The 13,892-nt window shown below is 44.3% G+C and overlaps 1 pseudogene; it reads left to right on the plus strand.

Annotated features, from left to right (window-relative positions):
• Positions 2,036-3,608, plus strand: SLC25A5P5 (solute carrier family 25 member 5 pseudogene 5; annotated as a pseudogene).

A 13,892-nucleotide genomic window follows, 5' to 3' on the forward strand; every position in this document is an offset into this window, starting at 1 on the left:
ATCAATTCAAGATGGATTAAAGACTTAAACGTTAGACCCAAAACCATAAAAACCCTAGAAGAAAACCTAGGCATTACCATTCAGGACATAGGCATGGGCAAGGACTTCATGTCTAAAACACCAAAAGCAATGGCAACAAAAGCCAAAATTGACAAATGGGATCTAATTAAACTAAAGAGCTTCTGCACAGCAAAAGAAACTACCATCAGAGTGAACAGGCAACCTACAAAATGGGAGAAAATTTTCGCAACCTACTCATCTGACAAAGGGCTAATATCCAGAATCTACAATGAACTCAAACAAATTTACAAGAAAAAAACAAACAACCCCATCAAAAAGTGGGCAAAGGACATGAACAGACACTTCTCAAAAGAAGACATTTATGCAGCCAAAAAACACATGAAAAAATGCTCACCATCACTGGCCATCAGAGAAATGCAAATCAAAACCACAATGAGATACCATCTCACACCAGTTAGAATGGCAATCATGAAAAAGTCAGGAAACAACAGGTGCTGGAGAGGATGTGGAGAAATAGGAACACTTTTACACTGTTGGTGGGACTGTAAACTAGTTCAACCATTGTGGAAGTCAGTGTGGCGATTCCTCAGGGATCTAGAACTAGAAATACCATTTGACCCAGCCATCCCATTACTGGGTATATACCCAAAGGACTATAAATCATGCTGCTATAAAGACACATGCACACGTATGTTTATTGCAGCATTATTCACAATAGCAAAGACTTGGAACCAAGCCAAATGTCCAATAATGATAGACTGGATTAAGAAAATGTGGCATATATACACCATGGAATACTATGCAGCCATAAAAAAGGATGAGTTCATGTCCTTTGTAGGGACATGGATGAAATTGGAAATCATCCTTCTCAGTAAACTATCACAAGAACAAAAAACCAAACACCGCATATTCTCACTCATAGGTGGGAATTGAACAATGAGATCACATGGACACAGGAAGGGGAACATCACACTCTGGGGGCTGTTGTGGGGTGGAGGGAGCAGGGAGGGATAGCACTGGGAAATATATCTAATGCTAGATGACAAGTTAGTGGGTGCAGCACACCAGCATTGCACATGTATACATATGTAACTAACCTGCACAATGTGCACATGTACCCTAAAACTTAAAGTATAATAATAAAAATAAAATAAAAATAAAAAAAAATTAAAAAAAAATAAATATATATATATATATACATACACACACACATATAATATTAAGTTGGTGCAAAAGTAACTGCAGTCTTTGCCATTAAAAGTAATGGCAAAAATTGCCATTACTTTTGCATCAACCTGATAAATATGTACACACATACATCCTACTGGTTCAGTTTCTCTGGAGAATCTTGATTGATACGAGGGGAATAATACAACCCACTTCACTGAGTTGTTGTGAATAGCATGCTTAGAACAGTGCCTAGCACAAGGAAAAAACACTCTAAATGTCACCTACTTCATATCACTTTGATGGTGGCTGTGAGCCAGGACAAGTCCCCAAGTGCAGAACTTTGACACCACACCACGTATTTCCTCTGCCCGTTGCATAGACAGTCATGCCTATCTGTCCTAGCCTTGCAGAGCTACTCGAATGAGAATGTGAGTGCACACTTTCCGAGTTCCAGGCCACCCACTTTGTCAGTTGATTGCGCAAAGTAGCTGGGTCCCACTGCTCAGGTGATAGCACTCTCAGTCATCTCATTCCTCCCTAAGGGCATCAGGGTTATTCATGGAGTTTCAAGAATTCCTCAGGACACAACCTTGATTTGGCTTTAAACCAGATAGGAAGTCCACTTTTCTATCAAGTGTCATTGACCCATGATGAATAGATTACCAAAACCATGAAGGTAAAAAGTAATTGATTTAGGCGTTTTTATTTGTTAAAAGAATGGAAATATTTTTCGCATTATATTTTGGTTTTATCTTGAGCAGTCAAGGAAGAGAGATTGGGAAGTTATAAAGGGACCTGAGGAAAAAAATGAAGCTTTGGAATTTGACAAAAACTAATATTGTTTCCCCGCAGCCCTGGCGTCAAAGCCAGTTCCCGGCCCAGTCTCGTCCTGCAGCAGCCTGCCGCCTGCCTCCTCTTTCCTTTCAACATGACAGATGCCGCTGTGTCCTTCACCAAGGACTTCCTGGCAGGTGGAGTGGCAGCAGCCATCTCCAAGATGGGGGTAGCGCCCATCGAGAGGGTCAAGCTGCTGCTGGAGGTACAGCATGCCAGCAAGCAGATCACCGCAGATATGCAATACAAGGGCATTATAGACTGCGTGGTCCATATTCTCAAGGAGCAGGGAGTCCTGTCCTTCTGGCACCGTAACCTGGTCAATGTCCTCAGATACTTCCCCACCCAGGCTCTCAACTTGGCCTTCAAAGATAAACACAAGCAGATCTTCCTGGGTGGTGTGGACAAGAGGACCCAGTTTGGGAGCTACTTTGCAGGGAATCCGGCATCAGGTGGTGCCGCTGGGGCCACATCCTTGTGTTTTGTGTACCCTCTTGATTTTGCCCATACCTGTCTAGCAGCTGACGTGGGTAAAGCTGGAGCTGAAAGGGAATTCTGAGGCCTCGGTAACTGCCTGGTTAAGATCTACGAAACTGATGGGATTAAGGGCCTGTACCAAGGCTTTAACGTGTCTGTGCAGGGTATTATCATCTACCGAGCTGCCTACTTTGGTATCTATGACACTGCAAAGGGAATGCTTCCGGATCCCAGGAACACTCACATCATCATCAGCTGGATGATCACTCAGACTGTCACTGCCATTGCTGGGTTGACTTCCCATCCATTTGACACCGTTCGATGCCGCATGATGATGCAGTCAGGGCGCAAAGGAATTGACGTCATGTACACAGGCACGCTTGACTGCTGGAGGAAGATTGTTGGTGATGAAGGAGGCAAAGATTTTTTCAAGGGTGCATGGTCCAGTGTTCTCAGAGGCATGGATGGTGCTTTTGTGCTTGTCTTGTATGGTGAAATCAAGAAGTACACATAAGTTATTTCCTGGGATTTCCCCCACTGTGAACAGTCATGTTGTATTATATAACATATCTTGAGCATTCTTGACAGACTCCTGGCTGTCAATTTATCAGTAGCAACTATTTACTGGTTGAAAATAGGAAGCAAGCCAGGTGCGGTGGCTCACACCTGTAATCCCAGCACTTTGGGAGGCCGAGGCGGATGGATCACCAGATCAGGAGATCTAGACCATCCTGGTTAACACGGTGAAACCCTGTCTCTACTAAAAATACAACAAATTTGCCAGGCGTGTGGCACGCGCCTGTAATCCCAGCTACTCAGGAGGCTGAGGCAGGAGAATCCCTTGAACTTGGGAGGCGGAGGTTGCAGTGAGCCAAGATGGCATAACTGCACTCCAGCCTGGGCAACAGAGCGAGACTCTGTCTCAAAAAAAAAAAAAAAAAGAAAAGAAAAGAAAAGAAAAGAAAATGGGAAGCAATAATATTCATCTGACCAGTTTTCTCTTAAAGCCATTTCCATGAGGATGGTGATGGGACTCAATTATATTTTTTATTTCATTCACACCTGATAAATAACAAATTTGGAGAAATAAAAATATCTAAAATTAAAAAAAAACTAATATTGTTTGTTTGGCCTGGGAAGGGATGGGAGGCAGGGCAGGAACGAATGGTGCACACCCTAGTAGATTTTTTAAAAAGGTAACATTGTCAAAATGTGTTCTAAACAGTATGTTCATCTGTATTTGAAATCTGAAGGCACATTTTGTAGACAAAACTGAATTATTTTCATGGGGGCAAATACCCATCATGTGACTTGAAACACTGCTGCTCAAGATCATCGCTGCATTTTAGAGTTTTAGTGCCTTGGGTTATTCTGTTCCCACTGCTTGGAATGCGTTTCCCCCTAGCAGGAAAATATTAACATGCATTACCTCTTCATGCATTACCATGATTACCTCTTCAGGAAACCCTCTCCTGACCTCTCCCAGGGGAGCTGATCACACTTCCCCTTCCCTTTGTGTGCCCATGGCACTTTCCTTTTTCTTTTTTTTTTTTGAGACGGAGTTTCACTCTTACTGCCCAGGCTGGAGTGCAATGGCACGATCTCGGCTCACCGCAACCTCCGCCTCCCAGGTTCAAGCGATTCTTCTGCCTCAGCCTCCCTAGTAGCTGGGATTACAGGCATGTGCCACCACACCCGGCTAATTTTGTATTTTTAGTAGAGACAGGGTTTCTCCATGTTGGTCAGGCTGGTCTTGAACTCCCGACCTCAGGTGGTCAGCCCGCCTCGGCCTCCCAAAGTGCTGGGATTACAGGCATGAGCCACCGCGCCCGGCCTAACCACGGCACTTTCTTTCCACTCCCCTGTACAGCACCCTGCAGCTGAAAGGGCGTGCCTGTGTCCTCCGTCTAATTAAGAACTTTTTTGCTAGCTTCTCTTGCCATTTTTTGTACTGTCTCTAAACAGTACTGGCATATAATGGGCACTCAACATACATGACATAAGAGGCCATAGCTCAGTGAGTTTCAAATGAACCCATATGTTAAATAAGTCAAGGGCTGCATTTAAATCAGACGCTAGAAGTGTCTCACCCTTACACTGTCCACTTTCAACGAACCACTCCAGGAATGAATTATTGCAAACATAAAAAATGAAAGAAATCACATATCTTTGAGTAAATCAGGGACCTGTGGATGGGATTATCTGGCTTGTGCATCCCCAGAACTGTTGTTCTTTACCTCCCTCTGGCTGTCCACTCTCCAAGAATAGGCAGAATTATAATAACCCTATCCTTCAGATCTTGTCGTTGCAGCAGCTCTCATTAAAGTTTTGTTGATGTAACAACCAAATGTAATGAGTAGACTTGGCTTGAATCCTAATTCAGAAACCCACTGTAAAAACACAGTTTTGAGACAACTAGGTAAATGTAATACAGCTTTAATCCTGGGTATTAAATAATATCAATGAATTACTTCCAATTTTATTATATGTAATAATGGTATTATCCTATAAGAAAATATGCTTATATTTAAGAATTGTATACAGAATTATTTAGGGATACAAAGACATATTGCCAGAGGTTTCCTTTAAGAGACTACAGCTGGCCGTGCGCGGTGGCTCACACCTGTAATCCCAGCACTTTTGGAGGCCGAGGCGGGCGGATCACAAGGTCAAGAGATCGAGACCATCCTGGCTAATACAGTGAAACCCCATCTCTACTAAAAATACAAAAAATTGGCCGGGCGTGGTGGTGGGCACCTGTAGCCCCAGCTACTCAGCAGGCTGAGGCCCAAGAATAGCATGAACCCGGGAGGCAGAGCTTGCAGTGAGCCGAGATTGCACCACTGCATTCCAGCCTGGGTGACAGAGCAAGACTCGTCTCAAAAAAAAAATAAAACCCCACAGCCAAAAGAAAAAACAAAAGAGAGAGAGAAGAAGGGCAGAGAGAAAAAGGGAGGGAGAAAAGGAGGAGGAAGAATGAAAGTTGAAGCAAATATGGCATTATGTTCATCACTGTTGAATCTAGGAATAGGTATTTTCTCTAGTTTTGTGAATGTTTGAATATTTTCATAATAAAACAGGGTTTCAAAAGGCTTTCTGGGAAAGTAAATGTAAAGGAGTTGATAAAAATAATGTCAAACAATCTTTGCATTCATTTCATTCCTGTAGCTTTTCCCAGGCTTCTGCGAGCCAGCCCCTGAAGGCTTCATTGGCCACAGACATCTGAACCAACTAAGAGCAGGAATTCCCCTGAGGCAAGCTGTTCCAATTTTCCTTGCTTTGGAAAATTCTGTCTTGTCTCCAACAAGCTCCAAATCCAGGCCCAGGACAGCCTCCAACCTGGGCAGCAGAAGTCTTCTGTATAGTCTGATCTCAATCAGTAGGACGCTATGGCTTGCATTTGTGCCTGTATCGGTTAGGCTTAACCAAGTGGGTTAAATAAGATGGCTTTCTCATACAAACGGCCAGGTAGGTGGTCTACGACTGGTATGGCAGCACCACTATTGCCTTCTTCCTTTTCTTCCGCAGCACTCATCTCATCCTCTACCACTTCATCCATACTTCATTGGCCACGATCTCGTGACATGATTCTTACATGATTAAACTTTGCTGAAATGGAGGCATAGAAATGTGTCTTTAGTTGGGCAGCCATGGAAGGAAAGAGTGAAAAATGGAAGCCAACCAGCCATTTCTGCCACCGTGCCCAAGCAAGAAAAAATGCTTATAATCCTCTGTGCATATATTTTTCCTGGGGGCCACTTAGAAAAAGGTGGATGGTCAAAGGCAAAAAGCAGGTGTCCAGGGCCCCCTACAAAATGCTATATTAATATCACTTCTATTGATGGTCTTTCTGCTGGGCTTTCTGCTGACACCAAAATGTGGGTCTGCATCCTTGCTCTTATCTCCATCAGGGAGAGTGTGCCTGAGAATGGAAAGAACAAGGAGGAGAATAAGGCAAAGAGATGGAGAGACTGCATCCTGATGACATCTTTAGAGCCCGTGGAGCTAGGCATGCCAGAAACTGGAAGGTTAAACTACATGAACCAATAAATATACCCCATTTTTTCTTAAAAAAAAAAAATACTGCTTAACCTTTGTCACTGTAACATGTCACCTGCACAACTGGAGAAGTCTTGAGGGTAGAGAGCTCTGCAAAGGGAGGAAGATAGGAAGTGCTCCAGGCACTGCAGCTGTTGCCAGGAGTGAAGAAACTCCCTCCTGTGGAGCACCTACTGCCCATCCCGCACCGTGGGATGCTGTCATATCACATATATTTCATATATATTAGCCCTTATATATTACATCTATAATATAATATATATTATCAAATACAGTATTTCATATCATTCTCATATAACCCTGAAGTACATGTTACCATCCCCATTTTGCAGAGTAGGGCACCAAGGCTTAGAGATATTAAGTAACTTCTCCAAGGTCACACAATTGAGAAATGACAAAACAGGTATTAGAAGCCAGATTCCCCCACCCCATCCCCAGGCTGCCTTTAAATTCCTCCGTGGGCCCTCTTCCTTGCAGGCTCCTGTCCCATCAAAGTCCCTCCTCCTGATCCCCCCACATCATTTGTCTTCTGCTGCTGATTGTCAGCACTTCTCAAGTTCCCAGGGGCTGTGAGTTGGAAGAGGCATCACTCTGAGAAGTAATGCACCTGCAGGGAAGAGATGGCTCTTTAGAAATAAACTAGAAATGAGTATCTCTATGATACCCATGGAGAAAGTGCAAGAGTTTGGACACAAGTGGTTTCAGCCTCTGGGGGAGAGGAAGGTAATTTTATCCAGGGTAACCCAACCATCATCATCCAGTCACATAGGTGGAGAGGCACAGCCAAGAGCTCTGAATCAGGTCCCAATGATCTAAGCACCAGTTCCAGCACAGCCCCTGAATCCCTTATCAAGTTAAGGCCTCTCTTTGAGCCTAGGTCTCCCCACCTATAAAGTGAGGGACTGGGCCTAGAGGTGATGTAAGCTCCCTTCCAGCTCATCCCACTCTGGACCCGTGCCTTGAGAAGCCACAGATCTCAATGCAGGCTTGTGTCATACTCAAGCACTAGTCACTGGAAAAGCAGGAAGTCCTTGGGTGAGGTGCTTACCTCTCGGAGTTTATTTTCCCAACACAGGTGTCAGATGGAATAGAAGAAACTAGGTGTCTATGCATGCTCATTTGTGGTTTCTATCACAATGGAAAATTCCTTGAGCATCTACAATCCCCACCTGTGGTAATGTGAACACCCAACCTGGAGCCAGGAAAACACCTGGGCCAAATTACTCCACTGAGCATTTCCCTTCTTCCTCAGCCCTTTCTTACCCTCCTGCTGGCACAGGCTGCCACTTGCCTGATTCAAGTTTCTCCACTTACTAAATGTCACACTTCCAGCTGCAATCAACAAGAGATGCTCTCCAGGCAATTCAGTACAGGAAAAAATAAGGTCCTTCCCACTTCTTATTACCCTCATGAGATGCTGACTGTGGAGCTGGCTAATACCAATGACAAATAACAGGGTTACTATGAGGAAGTATGAATGGGACCTATGGCCCAAGAAGCAGCAATTATGGACACAAAAAATTGCATGAAAGGAGGTAAGTAGAGTCCTTCCCAGAGAACAGAGGAGGCAGCAGAGCCCATGACCCACATCTGAGTCACCACATCCCATGGCCACGATCTTCTATTCTAGTACATTTCCCTATTGCTATAGCAGATACAATGATAAATTATTTTATAGGATACCACAGCTCTTTTTGGAAAGCAATATAGATGTAAAAGCCAGCCAGGATGTTACCAGCTGATATCCAATGATGAAGGAATAGGGATCCAGTTAGCCCTCATGTCAACATGGAAAGTTATTCAAGTTAAAGCATTTCACACCTATGAGCCCTTTGGATCTCCAGAATAACTGTGTGGAGTAAGAAAGGTCTGAGTCACTGCTTTGGCTTAAAAGATGAGAAAACCAAGACCCAAAGAGGGAAAATTGCTTGCCGGGGCTCACTCAGTCTGTAGCATTAGGGCTTCTACACCAGACCATGATTCCTCTTGAAGTGGCCTTCAGTCTGATGGTTTTCAAGTTTGTTCTCATTGAAACAGAAGAGAAAAGGAGAAGGAAGCAAGGAAAGCAAGGAGCATTACAGCTTTAAAAGATGAGCTACAGTGGCCGGGCGCAGTGGCTCACGCCTATAATCCCAGTGCTTTGGGAGACCAAGGCGGGAGGATGGCCTGAGTCCAGGAGTTCCAGACCAGCCTGAGCAACATGGTGAAACCCCATTTCTACAAAAAATACCAAAAATTAGCCAGGCACTTGCCTGTAGTCCCAGCTAGTCAGGAGGCTGAGGCAGAAGGATGGCTTGAGCCTGGGAGGCAGAGGTTGCAGTGAGCCAAGATTGTGCCACCGCATTCCAGACTGGGCAGCACAGCAAGACCCTGTCTCAAAAAAAAAAAAAAAAAAAAGGCCAGGTGCGGTGGCTCACGCCTGTAATCCCAGCACTTTGGGAGGCCAAGGCGGGCAGATCATGAGGTCAGGAGATCAAGACCATTCTGGCTATCACGGTGAAACCCCGTCTCTACTAAAAATACAAAAAAAAAAAAAAAAAAAAAAAAAGAGCCAGGCACCCTGGCAGGCGCCTATACTCCCAGCTACTCCGGAGGCTGAGGCAGGAGAATGGCGTGAACCCGGGAGGCTGAGCTTGCAGTGAGCCGAGATAGCGCCACTGCACTGCGGCCTGGGCAAAAGAGTGAGACTCCATCTCAAAAAAAAAAAAAAACAAAAACAAAAGAAAACAAAAAAAAAAACAAGATTAGTTACCATATCCAAAACTGCTAAATTCCCACAGGACATTAAGTCAGAGCAATCCACAGATGTGGGGACAGGCTCCCAAGTTCCCAAAGACTCCCAATTCACCTCAGATTCCAAACACAGCATGGCCAGCAGTGATGGGATGCCCATGGTTAGAGGGAAGAGGGAGCATGCCTGAGCCCCAAGGACATGACCCCTCACCAGAGGTCAACCTCCCCTTCTCCCCACTGAGGCCTCAGGCCCTGGGCTGATGTCCTCTTCCATTGAAGTGCAGACAACCAAGGCAGAGAGGCAGTGCTAGAAAGGAACCCAAACATTCAGCTTCACTCTTGTTTTATAGGTAAAAATGTTGAAGCCCTGAAAGAAAAAAGAGTGACTTGCCCCAAGGTTACAAAGCCACTTGGTGACAAACTCAAGTTTCCTGATTGTTCTTCCATCTCCCTTTCCAAACTGTTGACCTCCCTTCTTCTCCTGTGTGTGGCTGACACAGTCCCCGGACTCCTTCCTATCAAGGGGCCCAGGGAAAAATACTGGGTCCAGAAGATGCATAGTTTACATGTGGAAGCTGTGCAGCTCTTGTCACTGGTTTGGTTTTAGTTTTTACTTAACCCCTCTACTCTCCAGGGTAGGAGATTTAGCTTTGTCAAGCAGAGTCACTATGCACTCCCGGGATCTTTACTCCTTTCTGAACTCATGCTGTTTTTTGAAGCCACTTCATCATACCTATGACTCTTTATTCCCCTGTGATAAAACCTCCAGACCTCTGAAATCATCCCTTCATCCTGGCTTCCAAAGCACTCTCCTCTCAATTCTATTTTACAATAGAAAAGGCACCTCATATAGAAAATATGAAATAAATGAATGAAAAACAGATTCCTCTTTTGCAAAAAAAAAAAAAAAAAAAAAGGGAAGGAGGTGTGAAATAGTAGTATAATTCAACCCTTTACCTGCCCTTGTGGTGTGATCCAATAGGAAGCTCAGCAGAGTAGGAGACAAGAAACCTGAGTTCAAATGAGGCTCTGGGGAAAACTAAAAAGCCTTGGCTCTAGCAACTAGCTGCCTGCCTAGTTCCACAGTGTCCTCTTGTGGTCAGTTGGTATCATGCATGATTTTTCTTAAATTCAAGAATGAAATGTCTAATAAAGCAAAGATTCAGTCAGGGTCACTCCTGGATAAAGTAGATGAGGTCTGTTTTCTGACCACTCTCTATTCCAGCCTCATGCCCACTAACTTCAACTCCTTGTGACTGAAGTACACAGAGCGTCAATTTGGGTGTCAGGTTGATGTGAGAAGTACCAGCTCCACTTCTTAGAGAGATGTCAGCCAGGAGGGCTGCTGTCTTCCAAGAGTGGTACTCATAGAGCACCAGGACCCTGCTAGAGCTCCCAAGCTTCTGCCTCTGATCTTCCCAGGTAACAGCCAGAAGCCCACTTGCATCACTGCACTGAGGGCCAATCGACCACACCAGCCAAACTCAACATACTCAGATGATGGGGGCCCATACTCTAGTCTATGGTCCAACAATGTAATAGGATTTGTTTCCTTTGAAACCAGGACTGTGCATGGTATGAACTGCTTGAGGCTGTTGTTTTTCTAGGAGAGAGTAGCTACTCAAGACAGTTTCACAATATAACAAAAGCCTCCATGACCTGTCCCATATAAGCATTGAGTAGTGATAGAGGGATGAGGGTTCCCATAGGACTTTCTGGAGGAAGAGACATTTGAGCCTAGTCTTGAATACAAGTAAACCAAATGAAGATAGGTTTGGAGATAAGGCTCTTCCCACAAAAGTCCAACATGAGTAAAGCCAAAGGCCAAAGATGGGTAACAGCCAGTGTTATAAATTCTGTGCTGTGAAGGCAAGACTGAGATGTGACTGAGAAGGTCAACAGGCACCCCTCATGGTAACCTGTTAAGGAACCTGGCCTTTCATTGTATAGAAGGTAACTTACTGAAAAGTTTGAAAGCCGGCCAGGTGGAGTGGCTTCACCTGTAATCCCAGCACTTTGGGAGGCCAAGGCGGGTGGATCACCTGAGGTTGGGAGTTCAAGACCAGCCTGACCAACATGGAGAAACCCCGTCTCCACTAAAAATACAAAATTAGCCAGGCGTGGTAACTCATACGTGTAATCCCAGCTACTCAGGAGGCTGAGGCAGGAGAATCGCTTGAACCTCGGAGGCAGAGGTTGCTGTGAGCCGAGATCGCGCCATGGCACTCCAGCCTGGGCAACAAGAGCGAAACTCCATCTCAAAAAAATAAAGCCAAACATAGCATGACCATATCCTGCATTTTAGATCAATCAGTCAGTTGCTCTGATGGTCTGATGGCTGGGATGGACAGATATGACAGGGTAGAGATGGGAGGCAGGCAGGAAGGCAGAGGAGGTTTTTGTCTTAGTACAGCAGAGACTCAAGGGCTATTGGAGTCTTGAGGGGGGCCAATAATTAGCACTCTTCTTCCACAATTGAGTTCTGAACCAATTGAGAACAAAGGCAAAGTAGAAAACAGACAGCAGTCATTGTTACTACTACTACATTGGATGATGTAACTTATATCTACAGACTGTAGTTAACTTCTGTGTTTGGAACTCCAGAATTATTCAGATGTACCCACCAAACCATAGGCAAACCACAAACCACCCCAGACTTCTTCATGTGGAAGCAGACACCTCTAAAACTTACAGGAAAAAGCAGAGCAGAACCCACACTCCCTCAGGCAACTCAGTCTGCATGTCTCCGGGCATACAGAATAAAAGGACAGAGAGAGGGCAGATGTGTTACACTAATTAAGCTTTCATGTAGAAGAAAACATCAGAGGTAGAAAAGAAGCATTTCCCTTACATTCCCCATCTTTTTGTTCTTTTCACTCACTGAACTTAACCATTAGAGCCATAGAGAAGAACACAGTCTATCACTCCCAAATCCAACTGCCATTGGGATCACTGGAAGCAGTTTAGATTTTGCCCCAAAAGGCTCTAAACAGAGTCAGAATAATATATTAATTAAGGCAACTCCAAGGCTTCTGTAATTCTAAGTCTGAAAATTCACTCCATTTCCCACCCAAAGTATGCCCACCACATTGTTGAGGCGGGAAATTAAAGAAAAATAAACTTAAAAAGAAAGAGAAATAAGTTTTCCTGTGTTAGGCTGACTTGTCCCAGAGGCAGCAAAAGGCACAGCCCAGACCCAGGAAGTCTTGATAATATTATCTAATGTGCTCTGGAAACTCTCCCAGCATTCCCTCAACATACGGAGAAGAAAAACAAATTTTCCTTCGTTTTATGGAATGAGTTTATAGATTCCTGTTCTCTGTAACCAGTGACTTCAAACATTCTGTTTTATCTAAGCAGTAGAGTGAAGGTCAGAGCCTCTGAGCAGGCCTGTGTTATGGCCACCTGGGTGCCAGTGAAGGTTATAGGATAAGCCCGTGCCTAGGCAAAACCTAGATAACAGACATCTGGGTTGACTGGCAATGGTCATGTGTAATCCTGAGTTATGATCTGTTACAATTTGATTAACTGTCTTTGTCCTGCCTCTGTATCCCTGCTTTCAGGCCACTGTAAGCTTGCTTCAAGCTAGCCCACCCCCTTTTGTGAAGTGTGCATAAAATCAAGTGCTGTCTTTGTTCTGGGCCCAGTATTTCAATGTTAAGTCTGCAGGGTCTGAGTGCACTCAATAATAAATATATCCTCCTCTATACACCCCAAGGTCTCTCTCTGGTCCTCCTGATCCTGCAACATGATCTGTGATGGCTAATTTTAGGTGTCAAGTTAACTGGATTAAGGATATCTAGAAACCTAGTAAAGCATTATTTGGCTGTGTTTATGAGGGTGTTTCCAGACTACTTTAGGGTGTGAGTCTGAGTGGACTAGGTGAGATACACCTTCAATGTGGGCCAGCATTCAGTTGACAGAAGGTCCAAAGAGAACAACACAGAAAAGGCAACATGTCTGTCTCCCTCCTAGAGCGGGGATAACTCTTCCTTCTCTGTCTTTGGATATAAGAACTCCTGATGTTCTGATGATGTTGTCCTCTGAGGACAGAGAAGGAAGAGTGATCCCAACTTTAGGAGACCTCTGGACTCCAGGACTTACACCAGTAGCCCCCTGGGTTCTCAGGCCTTCAGCCTCAGACTGAGAATTTTATCATGAGCATCCCAAGCTCTGAGGTCTTTGGACTTGGACTGAGCCACATCAAGGTCTCCAGCTTGCAGACAGCCTGTTTTGGGGCTTCCCAGCCTCCATAATCGCATGAACCAATTCTCCTAATAAATCCCCTTATATATCTATATACATATACTATTGGTCATCTCTGGAGAACCCCAACTAATAAATGGTCTAACCTGGCATATCAGCACACCAACACCCAATAATAAAATGCCAACAACAGAGATGCCCAAATCTACATATAATCCTGTGCCATTATCAAATTTACTGGAATTCAAAAATTAAACCTCCTTCCAAATCAAAGTCCAAAAATGTTAAACTCCACTAGAATTAAAATCCAAAACTAAATACCCTTATTTTTGTAAGTTAAGAATCAACCAGCCTAGGCAACATGGTGACACCCTGTCTCTACAAAATATTAA

The sequence above is a fragment of the Homo sapiens genome, chromosome 7 (genome assembly GCF_000001405.40).
Source record: "Homo sapiens chromosome 7, GRCh38.p14 Primary Assembly".
In the NCBI taxonomy this organism is placed as follows: domain Eukaryota; kingdom Metazoa; phylum Chordata; class Mammalia; order Primates; family Hominidae; genus Homo; species Homo sapiens.